The sequence below is a fragment of the Homo sapiens genome, chromosome 8 (assembly GCF_000001405.40).
Source record: "Homo sapiens chromosome 8, GRCh38.p14 Primary Assembly".
Lineage (NCBI taxonomy): Eukaryota > Metazoa > Chordata > Mammalia > Primates > Hominidae > Homo > Homo sapiens.
In genome coordinates, this window is record NC_000008.11 from 142,223,737 (window position 1) to 142,242,925 (window position 19,189).

The 19,189-nt window shown below is 54.6% G+C and overlaps 1 protein-coding gene across 3 annotated transcripts in view; it reads right to left on the reverse strand.

Moving 5' to 3' along the window:
- The window catches only part of TSNARE1 (t-SNARE domain containing 1), a 194,950-nt gene that overhangs the window by 11,657 nt on the left and 164,104 nt on the right, over nt 1-19,189 (reverse strand). For all 3 annotated transcript variants that reach the window (NM_001366901.1, NM_145003.5, NM_001363740.2), the window contains exon 13: nt 5,737-5,843. In NM_001366901.1, coding sequence (NP_001353830.1) covers nt 5,748-5,843 — 96 coding nt within the window. In that variant the 3' untranslated portion in view covers nt 5,737-5,747. The remainder of the gene's footprint in view (nt 1-5,736; nt 5,844-19,189) is intronic.

Sequence of the window (19,189 nt, forward strand, 5' to 3'; positions counted from 1 at the left end):
GCTACCAAAGACCAATGTGGAAGGTGCTTCTGCAGGTGCAGGGGCTTGGGTCCTGGGATCCAGAGTGGGGAGATCATGGATAAGGAGAGAGGAGGTGCCCAAAACCCAGATCCCAAGGGCTCACCTCGCTTCTACAAGGTCCCACCAGCTCATTTCTGCAACAGCCACATCTGAGAAACCTGGACAATGCCACGTCCTGGCCACCCAGGGGAGGGCTTTCTGCCAAGGGAGCCCAGGCAGGGCTTTCTGAAGAGACTGCTCGGGGCCATTTCATCCTCTGAGAGCTATCGGTGCAGTCCTGGGGGATGCACCACCACCAAAGCATCCTCCTCATCCTGGTGTGCAGGGTCTCTGTCCCCATTACGCTGAGCCCGGCCCAGATCCTTCATCTACAGCAAGAGGCCTCCTCACCAAGCAATGGGGCCTGGAGAGGCTTCTGGAAACACTGGCACAGGCCTGGGCGGGGTGGCTGGTGGGAAAAGGGGAGGCTCCAATACAGAGACCAGAGCTGGGACCCGGAATGGCTCCATCGAGTGCGGCAGGCGGGCTTTGCCCTAATGCCTGTCATGACTGAGGATGCCCCAAGCCTGACTATGGACCCTGGCCACACACTGACCTCTGACCCTGATCACATATGGAGCCCTGACCCTCACCATATGCTGACCTCTGACCCTAGCCACATGCTGACTTCTGACCCTCACCACAGGCTGGGCCCTGCCCCTGATGCCAGACAAGCCTTCACATTAGTTGTGAATTGGGTCCTGGGACCTGCAGATGAGTGAGGCTGGCTGGGTGCGGTCCCTCCTCACCGTGGAGACTCACAGCACTTGCCAGGGCCTACTTGGTGCAGCCACTGCTCCCTTGTCAAAGGAGGTCCCTGTCTTGATTGCTTCCAGGCTCCTGTGAGGGCCAGGCAGGAGGTGGACTTCCAAGATCCTGGCAGAGCTGAGCCCAAGCTGGGTTGTGGCTGTCAGAGCCAGGGAGGGGTGCTCTGGGGGCTGGCCTCTTGGAGCTCCCAGGCTGGCATGGCCTCACCCGCCACTCTGAATGGGATGTGTCCAGACCAGGTGCCTGTGGTTTCATTCACCACAGTCTTGGTGGGTCTGGGCAGAGCAGTCAGGATGCTGATGAGGCTGAGCCCGCGGGGAGTGGGGCAGAGGGCGGGGCTGGGTAGCCCTGATTGATCCCTAGCAGAGGAGTGAAGGCGGGGCCAGCAAATCCCTTCCCCACCTGAGCCTGCAGGCTGGGAGCTGCTCCCACTCCAGCAACAGAGCCAAGGGAGGCGTGGCTGCAGGCCTGTTCGCCTCCCTTCAGCCTACATCCAAACTGCCAGGAGTTCCCCTGCTTGGCCCCAAGGCCCACTGTGCCCCTCCAACCTCTCCCTGCTGTCAGCCCCCGATGGTTGCCCTGCCTCCCCCCTCCCCCCAGACCCTCCTCACCCATGCAGATGTGGACACGGCTTGCCCTCACTCCCACCCTCCACGGCTTCGCCTGCCCTTGGAATACTCCACACTCTGAATCTCCAGCGAGACCCCAGGGCTCTCCTGGTCTGGCTTCTGCTGCTGCCTAACCACCTTCTCTGCTCCTTGGCCCTGGCCCTGCTGGGACCTCTCCACTCACACAGCATCAGGGCTGCAGTGCTCCCTGCCCCTGGCTCAGCCACCTCCCCTGCCTCTCCTAACCCTCCCCTCCCTCCCCTAACCCTCCCCTGCCAGGTGCTCACATGCGGGCTGTACCTTAACTGTCCATTTCCATCTATCTCTCCTGCTGGGAGGTCGGGCACTCCTGGGCCCTCTGCAGTCCCGCTGCTGGCTCCTCCCCTCTGCCTTCTGACCACAGGGCATGGGTGCAGCTGGGCCGCCACACCTCAGAGCAGCTCCATACCTCCTTGCAAGTGACTACAGGCAAACCATGTGCTGCCTAGGCCCATCTCCTCTGCAGTCTGGGACAGTGGTACCAGTGATGCCTGCCCCATGGCCCGTGATGAGGCCAACACAGGTAACGTATGCAAACCACAACCTGTCACTCAGATGTACTGGCTTCCTATGGCTGCTACAACCAAGTACCGTATGCGGGCGGTGCTCTAAACAACAGCCATGTGTTCTCTCATAGCCCGGGAGGTGAAGTCTGGGATGGAGGAGTTGGCAGGGCCGTGCATGCCAGGGTGGGTCCTTCCTTGCCCTGTCCAGCTTCTGGTGGTGCCAGGTGTTTCTAGGCTGGTGGCTGCATCACCTCATTCCTGCTCCCTCTCCACTTGGCCTTCTCCTCTGGGTGCTTCTGTGTCCTCTCTTCCTCTCAGGACACCAGCTGTCTGATTTAGGGCCCACCATAACCCGTTAAGACCTTATCTTAACTCATTACATCTGCAAAGACCCTGTTCCCAAATAAGGCCATGTTCACAGGTGCTGGGGTGGAGACCCTGATTTAGAGGGACTAAGTCAGCTCTGTACAGGGGTCATCACCATCGCCACAGTAACTATTACTATTACCAGGGCTGGTTTCCGGCTGGCTTGGGGCTGCACCAGTGTGGGCGAGAGGGGTGGGCACTGCTCAGAGTGTGGCCGGGCACACGCATGGGCTTGCGCATACATGCAGCCTGCGTCACAGAGGCGACACTGGCAGCAGGCGGGGGTCCTCTCTGCAGCCCGGCTCCTGCAATCGAGCTACGGTTGGCGCCTCCCGCCCACCTCTCAGCCCACGCTGTCCTGCTTGCGTCTGCCCCTATTGCTTGTTCTTCCGTGGATCCTCTCCCAGAGAACCTTTGCTACGAGGACTCAGAGCTGGGAGGGGGACCCTGGTGGCCCCCAGAGACAGGATTCTGTCCAGACTCCACACTCAGAGCCCCCTCAGGCAACCCACTCTGCTCAGCCCCACTCCTCTGGCTAAAGAGCACTGGCTCTGGAGTCCTGGGGGGCTGGAGGAATGGGGTCACTGCCCCAAGCCCAGGCTTAATAGAGGCAGAAGACTGGGCTCCCCAGGGCAGGACCTCCAGACAGAGCCTGGCAAGACCACAGCAGTTCCCGGCATAAGGAAGCAGCAGGGGTCAAGAAGGGCTCCCCATGGCAGGGCCCTTCCTAGGGCTCAAAGGCCCCTTCCCTTCCTGTGGGCCCTGCCCCACCTCACCTGCTCCCTGGGCAAGCTGCTGAGCCTCATCTGGAAAATGGACACAATAACAAGTCCCCCACTGCACCCACAACCCCAGTGACAGCCAGGACCACCACTGCACCCACACGGCAGTGACAGCAAGGCCCCCCACTGCACCCACACAGCAGTGACAGCCAAGCCCCCCACTGCACCCACACAGCAGTGACAGCCAGGCCCCCCACTGCACCCACACAGCAGTGACAGCCAGGAACCCCACTGCACCCACACAATAGTGACAGCCAGAACCCCCACTGCACCCACACCCCAGTGACAGCCAGGACCTCCACTGTGCCCACACCCCAGTGACAGTGAGGACCTCCACTGCATCCACAACCCTAGTGACAGCCAGGCCCTACATCCTGCCCACAATCACAGTGACAGCCAGGACCTCCACTGCACCCACACAACAGTGACAGCCAGGACCCCCTTCCTGCCCACAACTCCAGTGATAGCCAGGACCCCCATCCTGCCCATAGCCCCAGTGACAGCCAGGACCCCCATCCTGCCAATAGCCCCAGTGACAGCCAGGAGCCCCAACCTGCCCACAACCCCAGTGGCAGCCAGGACCTCCACTGCACCCACAACCACAATGGCAGCCAGGCCCCCATTCCTGCCCATAACCCCAGTGACAGCCAGGCCCCCCATTCTGCCCACAACCCCAACACCAGCAGCTCTGGATACCAGGAGTTCTCTTTGCCATCCAGGATTTTAGTAGCAAGACCTCGGCTGACCCAAATGAGGTAAGGCCACCTGGGGTCTTCACATGCCCTGCCTAATGTGAACACACAGAAGCCCTGCTGTTGCGGGACGAGCTGACTGGGGAGACCCCAGGGATGCGAAACAACATCTGGAAGGTTCACAGTGTGTCTTCACACAAATCCAAGACCTGTTCAGTCCATGCTGTCCTGGCCATGCTGGCCCTGAAGGCTGGGCTCTGCCTCCGCATTCCTCAGGAGGCTACAGGATAAATTTAGATAATGGATGTACAACACATGGCCTGGCACACAGTAGACCAACCATGGGAGTCTCCAGTGCTCAGTAAGACTCAAGTAGGGCAGCCTTGAGTGAGCAGCCGAGTACTGCAGAACTGAGCAAGGGTGGCATCCACCCTGTTCCCTTGCCAGCCTTCCCGGAGTTTACATGGAGAGGCACTGAGCCTCCATTCCACCAGCAACCAGCACCAGTGTCAGCCACACGCAGATCCAGCTTTGAATGGATCCTTCAGCCGCAGTTGAGTCTTCAGATGATGCAGCAATGGCCAACATCTACCTACAGTCTCACAAGAGACCCAGAGCCAGAGCCACCCAGCTAAGCCGCTTCCAAATCTTGACTCACAGAAACTGTGAGATAACAAACATTGATTTGGTTTCAGCCACTAAGCTTTAAGCTAACTTGGCATGCAGTACCAGTAATGGATATACCTGCTTAACATGTTTCAGAGGCTCCACGGACACTAAGGGCCTTCCCATGTTCTGTCCCAGCCCTGCCCGGCTGCAGCCCAGGGCCCTGTGCCCTGGGGACAGCCATGCTCCAGTGCCAGCCATGTGTCTCAGTACCCATTCCTCCCTGCCTACAGGAGCTGGTGAAGCTTCCTGATGAGCTCTCCTCACTGACGCCTCATTCCTCTCCTCTCCGGTCCGAATGCACACTCACCACATGGCCCAACATGTTCTGTGCACTGACTGCTAGCCCCAGAGAAATTGCCAGTCATAAACTTCTGGAGGTCAGTGCCTAGGAAAAGAGAGGCTTCAGGGTGGCCTTGCCCCAGTGGCTCTGAGTTGCAAGAACACAGGGCACCCCTCTGCCATGTGCACCACTGGGTCCCTAGAGCCCATCCCATGCCTAACACAAAGGAGATGCTCAACAAACACATAGAGGATGATGAAGGAAGGAAGAATGAATGGATGCAAGGAAGGAAGGATGGAAAGATGGATGATGGGTGGATAGGTGATAGATGAATGGATGGGTGGAAGGATGAATGGTGGATGGGTGGATAATGGACGAACAGATGGTGTACAGGTGCATGGGTGGATGGTAGCTAGGTGGATGTGTGAACAGATTGTGGATGGATGGATAGATGGGTGATGAATGGAAGGTAGATGGATGGACAGATGGTGGATAGATGGGTGGATGAGTTGATGGATGGATGGATGGATGGGTGGATGAGTGGATAGATGGATAAATGGTGGGTGGGTGGATGGATGGATGAATGGATGGATGGATGGAAGGATGGATGGATAAATGGATGGTGGGTGGATAGATGGGTGGAAGGTGGATGGATGAATGGAGGGTGGATGGATGGACAGATGGTGAATGGGTGGATAGAAGGGTGGATGGTGGGTGGATGGATGGATGATGGATGGATGAATGGATGGATGGTGGATGGGTGGATGGATGGATGGCAGATGGATAGATGGATGGATGGATGGTGGATGGGTAGATGGATGGACAGATGGACGGTAGACAGGTGGATAAATGGGTGGATGGATAGATGGATGGATGGTGGATGGTTAGATGGATGGTGGATAGGTGAATGAATGGATGGTGGATGTGCAGATGAATGGATGGTGTACGGGTAGGTGGGGTACTCACCACGGGTAGCATCACTTTCGGACAGAGGTGGCGATGATGATGATGATGACAAGCAGGGCAGTGACTCCAGCTGATAGGAAGCAGCACTTGATCTTGTGTCTCTGGAGCTGGGAGAGAGAGAGAGGTTGTTTCCATATCCTGGTCCTCCAACCTCCCATCCTCAGGGGCATTTGGCTTGTGCATACTTTGGGCTGTGGCATGCAGGGGCTGAGTCCACCCTGGGGCAGGGTCCAGAGAGAACCTGTGTCTTTCAAGGGGCTCTGTCCTGAGCTAGCATGACTGTTTATTGAATAACTGCTCTGGGCTGGCTCTGGAGCCAGGTTCAAAGGGAGAGAGGCAGGAGACTCAACTTAAGCTCCAGAGTCAGCCAGGCATGGGTGTGATTCATGCTTTGTCCATCTTGAGCTGAGGGATCTCGGCTGTTTCTCTTCTTGGTACCTTAAATTATTTTGTAAGGATAAGATGATGCCATGGACTCCATGGAGATATTTGAAAGCCTTAAAATTAAGGTGATGCCTGGAAACTACATAGCCTGGGGCCTGGCGAATGCCAGACATATAGTCTTCACCAGATAGTCTTACTTGTATATTCTTGTGGCTATTACTAATTTAAAAAATTCTGGACCCACCATCAAAGGTCTCATGGAAGAGAAAGACATTGATCTGTGCTAAGGGACTGATTAGATAGGGATTTGAAGGCTTCATGTAGAAGGCTATACCTCATTCAGGTCCTGAATGTGGGGTGGGAAACCCCTCGGCAGACCAGGGGGTGAGAGGCAAGGGATTAAGGGAGAACCCAGAGAAAAACGGGAGCTTAAATGAAATGGTAAGTACCAAGTATCCAAAGGAGGGAGCAGGGAGCAAGGGACAGGGAATGGGAAGGGAGACAGATTGGGATGAGACAGTCCTGCAAATTATGAAGGAGTTTAGACACCACCCCTAGACAGCAGGGAAGACAGGAGTTTAGAGCAGGAGAGTGACATGTTTAGCAGTGTGTTGTTGGAGAGAGCACTCAGGAAGCCAGACAAGAGGATGGGTAGAAAAGAGATCTGAGACAAGGATGCCAGACAGGCGGAAGACTAACGTGTCCATGAAAGATGGGCAGGGGCCTAGGGGAGGGTAGAGAAGGGAGGGTAAGATGGAACAGAGTCAAAACCAGAAGGTGGAATCCTCAGAACCTAGGAGTAACTGGATAGGGGAGAGGAGGGAAGTATAAAGGACAAGCCAAGGATGAGTCCCCTCGGTTACCCCTCTGGGTCATCAGTTAAATGTTGGGATGAAAATCCATTAATGCAACCATCCATCCATCCATCCATCCATCCATCCATCCATCCACCCACTCATCCATCCATCCACCCACCTATCCATCCACCCATCTACCCATCAATTCATCTATCCATCCATCCATCCATGAGCCCACTCATCCATCCATCCATCCACCTATCCATCTGTCCATCCATCCATCCGTCCACCTATCCACCCATCATCCAACCATCCATCCATCCATCCATCCATTCAACCATCCATCCATCTACCCACCTCTCCATCCATCCATCTACCCACCTATCCATCCATCCATCCAAACATACACCCATTCATCTACCCACCCATCTATCCACCCATCCTTCTACCCAGCTGTCCATCAAGATGACCAGCCCCCAGCTCAGCTCCCTCAACTGTCTCAATGTCATTGCACCTTAAGAGGGACCCACATACTGGCCTGAAAATGACCAATTGCTGAAACAGCACCACTTCCCAGCCTTGGGAAACACATTGCTACCTGTGTTCTTGGCCAGGACACTGAAGCTCAAAAAGGTAAAGAGACCTTCCCAGGCTTCACAGTGTGTGGCAGATCTGAGGTCCAGGTCTCTCTCCCTCTAGGTGTTGTCACAAAGTCATGTTGCTGCCTGGACATCCTAGGATGTGGGCAGGGTAATAAGGGGTTGGGGGGTGGCCAGAAGGGGACAGAAGGCCAAGAGTGAATCAGACAAAGCCCTCAGCTTACTGGTTGGCGGGGGGGCAGTCAACCCTCCTGGCAGGGACAGGGCTCTGCATCAGTGCACAGGACAAGGCGCACTGAATTAAGGACAACTTCAGGACACATGACAGCGCCCATGGCTTAGGATACTGGGGTTTGTGGGTGGCCAGTGTCTCTCAGGTCCATGGTCCCCTCACCAGCATCGTCCCAGTCAGTAGTACAGCTGCCCTTTCCCAAGCATCATCCCCCACCACGGCACAGAGGTGGGTCCCACCAACACCCCCAGTCTACAGAAGAGGAGATGGCTCAGAAAGGTGATGTGGCCTGCCCAAAGCCACCAGCCTGAGATCTGCAAAGCCAGGATTGGAGCTGGGCACCCAGCCACAGAGCCTGCTGCTGACTCCACACCCTGCCCCATAAGCCCCGTGCACTTGGAGTTACCTGTGCCCTGTATGTGCCATAAGAGTGCAAGGTGGATTTTCCTGTGCCAGCCCTACTCCCACACTCCTGAGACGGAGCCTGAGGAACCATGCGTGGGGGTCTCCCAGGTACCTGAGGGGAGCAAAGGGCATGGAAAAGAAACAGGAGCTGAGGTCAGGCAGTTCCACTTCCAGGCCTGTGCTCCACATCACTGCCAGACCGTGGCCTTGAGCACAGTGCTGGGCCTCTCGGCAGCAGCAGTTCCCGGCCTTTGACTTGGGGTGCCATGCCCTGGTCTGCAGGCCGAGGTGCATGCTGGAGGAGCTGGTGCATGGGAAGAACTTGGTAGCCATTGCTGGAAGCACTCCCCTGGGCCTCTATCCACACACCCAGCTCCAGACCCCAGGCAGCTGACAGGCCCGGCCTGGCCTCATACTCCTCTTCAGTTGGGTGTTGTGCCCATGCCCTGCCCAGACTGGGCCCTCGGCCACTTCCTGTGGCCCTGAAGTTGGCCAACCGAGGGCCTCCTTACGTGGTCCCAGGTCAGGCCTGTCTCCCTGCGCTACGTCTCTACCCTCCATCCCCCAACCCGCTGGGTTCAACAAATGAGGGGAGGGCGGCCGCAGGGAGGCAAGGAAGCTGGAACCACAGAAACGGACAGGCCAAAGGGGCGGACCCGGATGTAGCAAAGGATGTGCCCCAGAGGAGCCCGAGGGAGCACCTGCGGAAGAAAGGCAGGGAAAGGACGCCCAGGGACACTCTGCAGCTCCAGCCAGCTGCTGCCAAGCCCGGCCCTTCCACAGCCTCCTCTCTACCCATCACCAAGCCACCGCTCCGTATCTGGACACCGACTTCAAGGGAAGAGGCGGGCGCAGGCGATGACAGGCAGGGCCCAGGGATGCCAGATGCTGGGGCTGAGACAGTTGGCAGAGGCAGAGGCAGAGGCAGGCCTTTGAAGAGGGCTCTGCAGCCCCAGACTTGTCCAGCTCCCCTCCCCGACCCCAACTTCCGCATCAGCTGCTGCGGCCCAGCAACATCCCTGGAAGGGAGGAGCTGCCTGGCCGGAGGGGCTGAGCTCCTGCTGTGGCCAACCTTGACCTGGGGCTCACTGCAGCCCCCTGGGCCTTTCCTCACTCCAGCAGGCACCCAGACAGCCACCCTGCAGATGAGAAGCCACCCTCCCCAAGCTGAGGGAGGGGACAGCCGGCCAGGCACACAGCCCCCACTCATAGGGCTGACCTTTCTGGCTCCCCAGTGAAAATGTTTTGACCACATCCATGACCTGAGTAGACTGCAGAGGGACCTTCCTTAACGAGGCGAGATGAATTTTCCTGTTAAATATCACTGTGTCTGGAGGATGGGCAGGACAGGCCCGTGAGGCACGAAGAGCTGGCACAGCTTTCCTGGGGCTCAGGCCCCTTTTACAGATGGGAGGGCCTAGGACCCAAGCGGGGTTTTTGGACGGGTGATGGTCAAGGCCGAGAAGCCCACCTAGAGCCCCCACTCTTCGTGCTGGGGAAGCCTGGCCTCATCCACATCAAGCCTTGAGAACTGCCTGGGGCACGGTTCTACCCTGCCTCAGTGTCAGAGGGAAAGGAGGCTGGGGGATGCCAGGATGCCAACCCGGGAGACCTCCCTGCATCATGGGATCACAGCTGACAACATCTCAGCAACGGGGCCAGGAGGGGCCGGTGTGCTTGTGTTTAATTAACTCATTGTGTGGGCAGGGCTGGTGACCAGGCCCAGACCAGGCCCACAGACACAAGCTCACCTCCTCAGGAGGCTGAGCCCCTCCCCTGTCTGCTCTGCCTCTTGCCCCCAGCGGGAACCAGTGCCTAGGTTATGGTTTTGGAAGGCGGCTTGCTCCCTGCAGGGCGTACGCAAGGGCTCTTCCCTCTGCCTGCTGGCTCTTCATCACCATCTTCAGCCCCACCACCTCCAGGATGCCTTCCCAGATGTCCCAAGTCATGCTGAGTCGCTAGGGTCCAGAGCCTTGGCTTCCGCCTGTACAGAACCAGCCACTGCACCCTCCCAGCTTCCCCCTGCACAGAATCGACCACTGCACCCTCCCAGCTCAAATCTCACCTCCTTCCCCAGTGGAGCTGTGGGGGGCGGATGAGGTGTGGCCACCCTAGCCATCCTGAATGTGGCAGGTGCTCAGTGGAAACATGGTAACCAAGAAGAGAGAGGAGAAAACAAGTGACCCCAATCATGGAGGCCGGGGAAGGCTCCAAGATGGCTCCATGACCCCAACCATGCATTCAGGGAAGGTTCCAAGATGGTGCCATGACCACCACCATGGGTTCAGGGAAGGTTCCAAGATGGCGCCATGACCACCACCATGGGTTCAGGGAAAGTTCCAGGATGGCGCCATGACCCCAACCACGGGTTCAGGGAAAGCTCCAAGATGGCTCCATGACCCCAACCACAGGTTCAGGGAAAGCTCCAAGATGGCGCCATGACCCCAACCATGGGTTCAGGGAAGGTTCCAAGATGGCGCCATGACCACCACCATGGGTTCAGGGAAGGTTCCAAGATGGCACCATGACCACAACCACGGGTTCAGGGAAGGTTCCAGGATGGCGCCATGACCCCAACCATGGGTTCAGGGAAAGCTCCAAGATAGCTCCATGACCCCAACCATGGGTTCAGGGAAAGCTCAAGATGGCGCCATGACCCCAACCACAAGTTCAGGGAAGGCTCCATTAGTTCTCTGTAGATGTTGCCCAGAGGGCAGCCCAGCCCTGCTGTGTGACCAGGGCAGTCCCTCCAGCCTCTGCAGCTCCCTGTCCAGGTGAGGAAGGAGGAATGCTGGGCTGTCAGTCAGGTGGGGCACACAGATAGGCACCCCATCCACCTGCTCCCTCATCCCATTAACATGAGGGTCCACAGTGCACCCCAGACATGGAGAGGGGGAGACGCCCAAGCCTAGAGAGGGCTACACATCTGGGGAGGCTCACCCTGGCTCCACCTCCTGAAGTCCCCTCGTCCCCCCACAACATCCTCACCCCAACTCCACCTCCTAAAGTCCCCTTGTCCCCCGCAACACCTTCCCACCAGTGTGTGAGTGCCCCAGTCTAAATACAAGCAGAAAACTAGGGACCCCAGATGGCTGAGGAGTGCCCCCAGCAAAAGAATGGAAGCAGAACAAACGGAAAGAAATTCACAGAAACGGAGCAGGAGAAAACAGCCGCCAGCACAGCCCACAGGGAGGGCAGGCATTCGGGCACAGACTTGGGGCTGGAGGGACCAAGGGGAACCTGCCTGCACTGAGCGCCCTGGGTGCTGGTGCCCGTGGTCCAGAGAAGGACGTGACTCACCCAGGATACCCGCAGGCCCCAGAGAAGGACGTGACTCACCCAGGATACCCGCAGGCCCCAGAGAAGGACGTGACTCACCCAGGATACCCACAGGCAGGGTCCGGCAGGTGGCTGGATGCTGGATGTCTAACGCGGGCCCCAGCGCCCTCGTCGGGCCATGAGGCCTCCTCGTCCCCACCTGGTTTGCTCCTCCCTCTGCCCCTCCACCCCCACCCCTACCCCCGGCCCCTTCCTCCTGACCCCCCTGCACCCTGGCCCCCCATTCCTCAGGAACCGCTTCCCATGCAAATGCATTCAGAACACATGACGTTTCAGAAACATCTATTTGTATATATTTAGACTCCATTTCAAAAGAATTATTCAAAATCGGAGCCATTTGGATAGATGGGTGTGGAACGGATTGTTTCTTAAATGTTCACATCAAAAATACCATGTTTTCTAAGTGGATTACAAATGCTGTAATTATTGAAATGGGCGCATTCTGCTGGGGAAAATTACAGAATTATGACTTGGATCTCAGGAATGCTGTGTCCTTGGGCACTCACTTTAGGCCAAAGGCGGCAGCGGGTGAGAGCACATGGCGTTGGGTCCACTGTCCTGAAAGGGAAGCGGCCCTGAGCGTTTCCTCTGTGCCAGGGCCTGCCAGGGGCACGGGAGTCCTGTCTTTTAGGGAGGGCTTCATGCAGGGTGGGGGATGGACAAGTTGAGGAGCATGGCGGGGCAGGAGGAGGTGGGCACGCAGGAGGGGCTTCACCTGGCGAGGTGGGGGCACAGAAGGCTGCAAGTCCCCCAGGGGAGACGGGCTCACCTCTCCCAATTAGCCCCAGGCTGTGCAGGATGCTGGAGCTTCAGGGCAAGGACTCCGCAGCCAGGCTCCAGCCACAGCCTCACCGCGTGGCCATGAGGCTCTGCCCATTCGAGGCTTCAGTTTCCCCGGTCAGTTTCCTCTGGAGGTGGGATCCTGGGGTGCTTTCTTTTGCTTTGACTTCTGTTACAACGAGCCTCCCTCATGAAGACAAAAATGCAAAGAGGGAAGCCTTTTAAAGAGGCTTCTGCTCCTCAGACCCACCCCCGAGATACATGCCACGGGTTCAGGGCAGGGCAGGTTCAGAGGCGGGCAGACAGAGGCAGGAGGTGGGGAGCCTGGCAGGGGCAGGTGGGGCAGGAAGAGCCTGGCCAGGGCTGAGCCCAGGACTGGGACTCTCACCCGAGGTGGCGTGACCGTCCCCACCCTCCTTCCTGCACCAAGTATCCGCTGGGCACCCTCCCTATGCTAAGCAACCTCCCGGGCTCCTCAGGCATGAGAAATCCCCCAAGTTGGCCCCCCTCCCCTGTTTCTGTGACTGAAGTCCCAGGCTGATCCCCATGTCCCCAGGCCTCCTTACACTGGAGGCTGAATAAATGAATGAATTAATTAATTAAAAAAATTCAGAAATCCCCAAAGACACCAGGCTCCCCTAGACCCCACCTCCACACAGATGAGCTCATCCCTGACCCTCCAGACCACCACCTCTTCCCACCCTCCCTGAGCAGAGCTGACAACCACACCTGTCTGCCCCAGTCCCTCTCCTCATGTTGCGTATCAATTAGTTAATCGGTGCATATTCATTGCCTATGTGCAGGGGCTGTCCTAGGTGCTGGGGATGTCAGGGAAGGAAACAAAGACCCCGCCCTGGCGCAGACACAGGAAGCAGGCGCAGAGGAAATGCACCCTGCGGCGGTCATGATGAGGAAAATGGGCAGGGGCTGGTCAGCAAAGGCGTCACTGCCAAGGTGACTTCTGAGTCCAGACCTGAAGGCAGGAAGGGAAGAGCCCATGGTTATGAGGGGGGAGCTTTTTAGGCAATCAAAAGCCCGGAGCCAGGGGCCTGAGGTTCCAGAACGGCGGGGTGGGCGGGTAGCCTGGGCTCGCTGTTCCCTCTGCCCAGTTCTTCCCCAGAGCCCACCTCCTGCTCAGCCTCCCCTCCTGCGGCCCGACTCACCTGCCGCCTGCAGTCACACGCCTGCCACCCCTCCTGCTTCTCCCTGCGTGGACCACTCTCTCCCTGGAGGGGCTGAGGCTTCCTCTGCCTGCTGTTCCTTGACTGCTCCGCCCACCAGTGTGTGGCTCCATGAGGGCAGGAGTCTTGGCCTGTTCAGGCCTGTGTCCCCAGCCCTAAGCTGGGGTCAATGACTGGCACACGGGCGGCTCGTGGTTTTGTGGACCTCCCTGCTGAATATCCCCACCAAGTGAAGCCACAGGGCCTTTCATGGCCTCTCCACCCAAAGGGCCTGGCACAAAGGGGCCCCCGTGAGTGCACAGGCCCTGGCTCTCTCCACCGTGTGCCAGCGGAACCACCCGGGCCCTCCCCTGAGCCTCCGTTTCCTTATCAATCGAACATTTTGACAAGGAAGTCCTCCTGAGGATGGCAGAGATGACTGCACGTTTGGTCCGTGGCCGCATGCTGTGAGTGCACAGGCATACTCTCCTTCCTGCAGACAGCCCCTTCCCAGAGCTCGGACGGGCCATGCTTGGACACTGTCACTCCAAGGATGGAGTCATGCGGTCCCACCAGCAGGCCCCGGGTGGATGCGGAGGGAGGGCCCATGAGCTGGATCTCTCCTGGACCTCTCTCTCCCGAACCATGCTTGCAGTGGCTGCTCGTGAGTCCTGTCCACCAGCCCCGCAGGGTGGCTTACAGCTTTTTAATGCGTCTGACTTAGAGAAGCGTCGGGTTGGGGGAAGGCAAGTCTACCAGAGACAAGGATCTCCTGTACCTCCCGTTTCCCTGCTGGCCCACGCCACCCGCCTGCCCACGCCACCCGCCCAGGTCTCCATGCATCTGACTTAGGGAGGCAGCGGCTCCCTCACCCGACCCAGGAAGCACATCCGCTTCACCTAATGCTGTGACTGTCAGGCATCCTGGTGACTGCGTTACCCGCCCCCCCTCCACCCTGCACCCCTGTTGGCCTCTTTCTGGGGAGAAGGAGTGCCGTCTGTCTCCCTGGGTCTCCAGGACCCCGGCCTACATTCCCCACCCTCCCAGGTTGCTCAGAATGTGCAGGGCCTCGACTGGGCCTGGCCCCTCTGCAGGCAGCAACCCAGGGCTCCTAGCGGCTCACATCCTCCTGGCTCCTGGGCCACCACCTGTCACCTCCATATCTGGCAATCCTGTTCCCCCTCCTTTCCTGCCTCCTTTCCACACCATTAACTGAACTCTTGCCACAAGTCAGGAGCTAGGGACACGGAAGGAATAAAACCCTGCCGCTGAGCCCAGTCAGCAGGGAGACACATTCGACAGACAGATGCTGGTAGCCAGAAGCAAATGCCGGAATCTGAGGAGATGGAGCCCCACACCTGCTCCACCCCACACCGTGGTACCTCTCCTGCCACCATCTGCCAGCTGCTCCCCAGAGCCCCATTTCTCCCCTCCACGCCATTCTCCAGCCAGAACCATGCTCAAGGCTCCAAGCCACACTCCTCCTGCCTCACCTCCCCAGCCCCTCCCCTGCACACTCCTGCTGCTCACTTGCACATGCACACCTGCCCCTGCACACCCGCCCCTGCACGCCCGCCCCTGCACGCCCACCCCTGCACGCCCGCCCCTGCACACCTGCCCCTGTACACCCACCCCTGCACACCTGCCTCTGCCAAACACCTGTCTCCCCTTCCTCACCTGGCTCCTGCCTACTCAGTCTCCCAACCTCAGCTCAGGTGGCATCTCCTCCAGGAAGCCTCTCAGACTTCTGCTCACCAGCCAGGGGAGGTGTTGCTAGCACGGCTTCCACAGAATCCCACCGGGGCAGGGGTGGTGTCTGGCTCGTCCCTGGCACTGCAGACTCCATGACACTTGGTAAACAAATGTGCAGATGCACCAGCTGGGCCTAGGGGTGGGATGTGGGAGCCAGAGGGCAGGCAGGAAAGGCCCCCAGGAAGGGGGACTGGTTTGGGTGAAGGCCTACAGGAGAGAAAGTTCTAGGGCTCAGGGGAAGCTTGGCACAGCCAGAAAACTGAGTTCAAGGTCCCACTGAGCCTCCGCTGCCATCAGCAGCCAAACCTTAGCCAGGTGGGCTTCCCAGAGCAGACACCCCTCCTTTCTGCAGAAGAAGGTGGCCGGGGGCAGCCACGCCCTTTCCACAAGGAGCCTTAAAGCCCCTTGGGTAAGAGCCAAGACAGGCCTGGAGAGTGTGAACTAAAAATAACCGGTAACAATAGCATGGAAGTTGGAAGGGAGTAATCAGAGCTCAAGCGTTTAAAGGTCCATGCATTATTCAGGAAGGGGCTAGGACGATGTCTAACCTGAGACTTCATTTCAGTAGAATGACCTGGCAACATTTCAAGGGAAACAAATACAAGATTGAAATAAAGTGTAGAAGAAGTTTTAAAAATAGAGTAAGGAAAAAGTGAACTAACTTTTTAAAACTCCATTGATTCAGGAGGCGTGGAAAGTGAATGCACCAGGTGCATCTGAATTCCATCCTGGACTTAACAGGAAGCGTTAATGGAGTAATCAGGAAAACCCGAGTGGGGCCTGTGATTAGCGAGTCACGTTAAATACGTGGTTAGCGCCAACTCACCACTTCTGAGGGTGTGTGGGAGAGAATGTCGGCTCCTCCTGATGCTACTCAAGGGCTGGGGATTGGAGCATCCTGATAAGGAAGCATTAACAATGGTGGATGGGACCCAAAGAGGCTGGGCTTGGTGTCCTATTTCTGCGACTGTTATGTACATTTGAAATATTTTCAAAGTAAAAAGTTTAAAACTCTAGCAATAAAAAATAAAGAAGCTTTCAGACATCAAGATAAATACAGATCAAAAAGTAAGAAGGGAGAAACAAGTCCCCATATATCAATAATGGATTAAACTCGCCAATGAAAAGACAGGGATTGACACATGGGATTTTTTTAAATCCAGCTATCTGCTATTTACAAGAGGCATATCAAAAGCACAGAGGCATAGAAGTACTGAAAATGAAAAATAACAGGAAAATATATGATGAAAACATTAATCAAAAGAAAGCTGGGATAGTCCTGTTAAGAGCAGACAACATGGATTTAAGATAAAAAGCATTATGTGGCATCAGAAAGGTCACTTTATAATGCTGAAAGGTTCACTTCACCAAGATGATACATTCCAAACTTGTATACAATCTTAACGAAATAGCCACGGAATACATAAAGCAAACAGTTATAAAGCTACTGGGAGAAATTTCCAAATCCACCAGTGGGGTAGGAGATTTCAACATATTCCTCTCAATTTATGATAGGTCACACAGACCAAAAAGAGGTAAAAATACCGAGATCTGAACTACAAAGTTAACAAGCTTGATTTGAGGGACACTAATATAACTTTCCATGCACTAATTAAAGAATGCACATTCTTCTCAGGCACAAATGGAACATTTACAGAGATGGAAAGTTCTAGGCTATAAAGCAAGTCTTGGCAAATTTCAAAGAAGCAGTGTTGGACATAAAAGAAATTCTCTGAGCAAAATGCAATTGTTAGAAGGTAATTAAAAAAACAGTAAATTAAAAATCCCCATGCATTTAGAAATTTTATAATCTCCTTAAGTAATGGGTCAAAGAAAAATGATAATAGACATATACAGTTTCTAAACTGAACAATAATGGAAATATTATGTATCAAAACACAGGATGCAGTATAAACAGACCTTTACAGGAAGATTTATAGGCTCTAGATGCTTATGTTAGAAAATAAGAAAGGCTGAAAACTCGTGGGCCAAGCGTCCAACTTTAGAGGAAAGAACTTTTCTTCCAAGATCAGGAACAAGACAAGGGTGCCGGCTATCATCACTTCTACTCAACACAGCACTGAAAGTCCTCGCCAGTGTAATTAGGCAAGACGAAGAAGTAAAAGGCATCCAAATTGGAAAGGAAGAAGTTAAATTGTCTCTCTGTTTGCAGACGACATGGTCTTACTGATAGAAAACCCCAAGGACTCCACACAAAACCTGTCAGAAGTAACAAACGAATTCAGGAAAGTTGCAGGATACAAAATCCACATTCAAAAATCAGTCACGTTTCTATACACTAACAATGAACTATCCACAAAAGAAGTCAAGAAAACAACCCCATTTACAATAGTATAAAAAATTACTTAGGAGTACATTTAAGGAAGGGGTGAAAGATATATACAATGAAAATTACAAAACCTTAATGAAGAAATTGAAGAAGACACAAATAAATGGAAAGATATACTGTGTTCATGGATTGGAAGAATTTATACTGTTATAATGCCTATACTATGCAAGGCAATATACAGATCGAACAGAATCCTATCAAAATTCCAACATTTTTTCACAGAAATAGAAAAAAAATCTAAAATTTGTATGGAACCACAAAAGACCTCAAATAACCAAAGCAATCCTAAGCAAACAGATGAAAGCTGGAGAGGTCACATTAAATAATCTCAAAATCCACAAAGCTATGGTAACCAAAACAGCAGGGTACTGGCACAAAAACAGACGTACAGACCAATGAAACAGAAGAGAAGGCCCAGAAACAAATCCATGCATTTGCAGTTAACTAATCTTTGGCAAAGTTGTCACCAATACGTCATGGGGATATGACAGTCTCTGCAACAAATGGTGCTGGGAAAACCGGGTATCTACACACAGAAGAGTAAAAACGGATCTCCATCTCACGCCGTATACAACAATCAACTCAAAATGGATGGAAGACCGACATGTGAGACCTAAAACTCTAAACCTACGATCTCCATCTCACGCCATATACAACAATCAACTCAAAATGGCTGGAAGACCAACATGTGAGATCTAAAACTCTAAAACTACAGTCTCCATCTCATGCCGTATACAACAATCAACTCAAAATGGATGGAAGACCGACATGTGAGACCTAAAACTCTAAAACTACAATCTCCATCTCATGCCGTATACAACAATCAACTCAAAATGGATGGAAGACCGACATGTGAGACCTAAAACTCTAAACCTACGATCTCCATCTCATGCCATATACAACAATCAACTCAAAATGGATGGAAGACCGACATGTGAGACCTAAAACTCTAAAACTACAATCTCCATCTCATGCCGTATACAACAATCAACTCAAAATGGATGGAAGACTTACATGTGAGACCTAAAACTGTAAAACTACTAGAAGAAAACATAGGGAGAACTTTTCTTAACACTGGTCTTGGTAAAGATTTGTTAGATATGACCCCAACAGCATGAGCTACAAAAGCAAAAATAAACAAAACAGATTGCATCAAACTAAAAAGCTTCTGTCCAGCAAGGGGAGCAGTCAGCAGAGTGAAGAGATGACCTGCAGAATGGGAGGAAATATGTCCAAACCATACACCTGATAAGTGGTTAAAATTTAAAATCTATCAGGAACCCAAACAACTCAATAGCAAGAAGACAAATAACCTGATTTTTAAAATAGGCAGAGGACCTGATGATTTTTAAAATGGGCAGAGGACCTGAATAGACATTTCTTGAAAGAGACATACAAAAAGCTAACAGGGCCGGGCACGGTGGTTCATGCCTGTAATCCCAGCACTTCGGGAGGCCAAGGCGGGTGGATCACCTGAGGTCAGGAGTTCAAGACCAGCCTGGCCAACATGGTGAAACCCTGTCTCTACTAAAAATACTAAAATTAACTGGGCGTGGTGGTGGGCACCTGTAATCCCAGCTACTCAGGAGGCTGAAGCAGGAGAATTGCTTGAACCCGGGAGGTGGAGGTTGCAGTGAGCTGAGATCAGCCTGGGC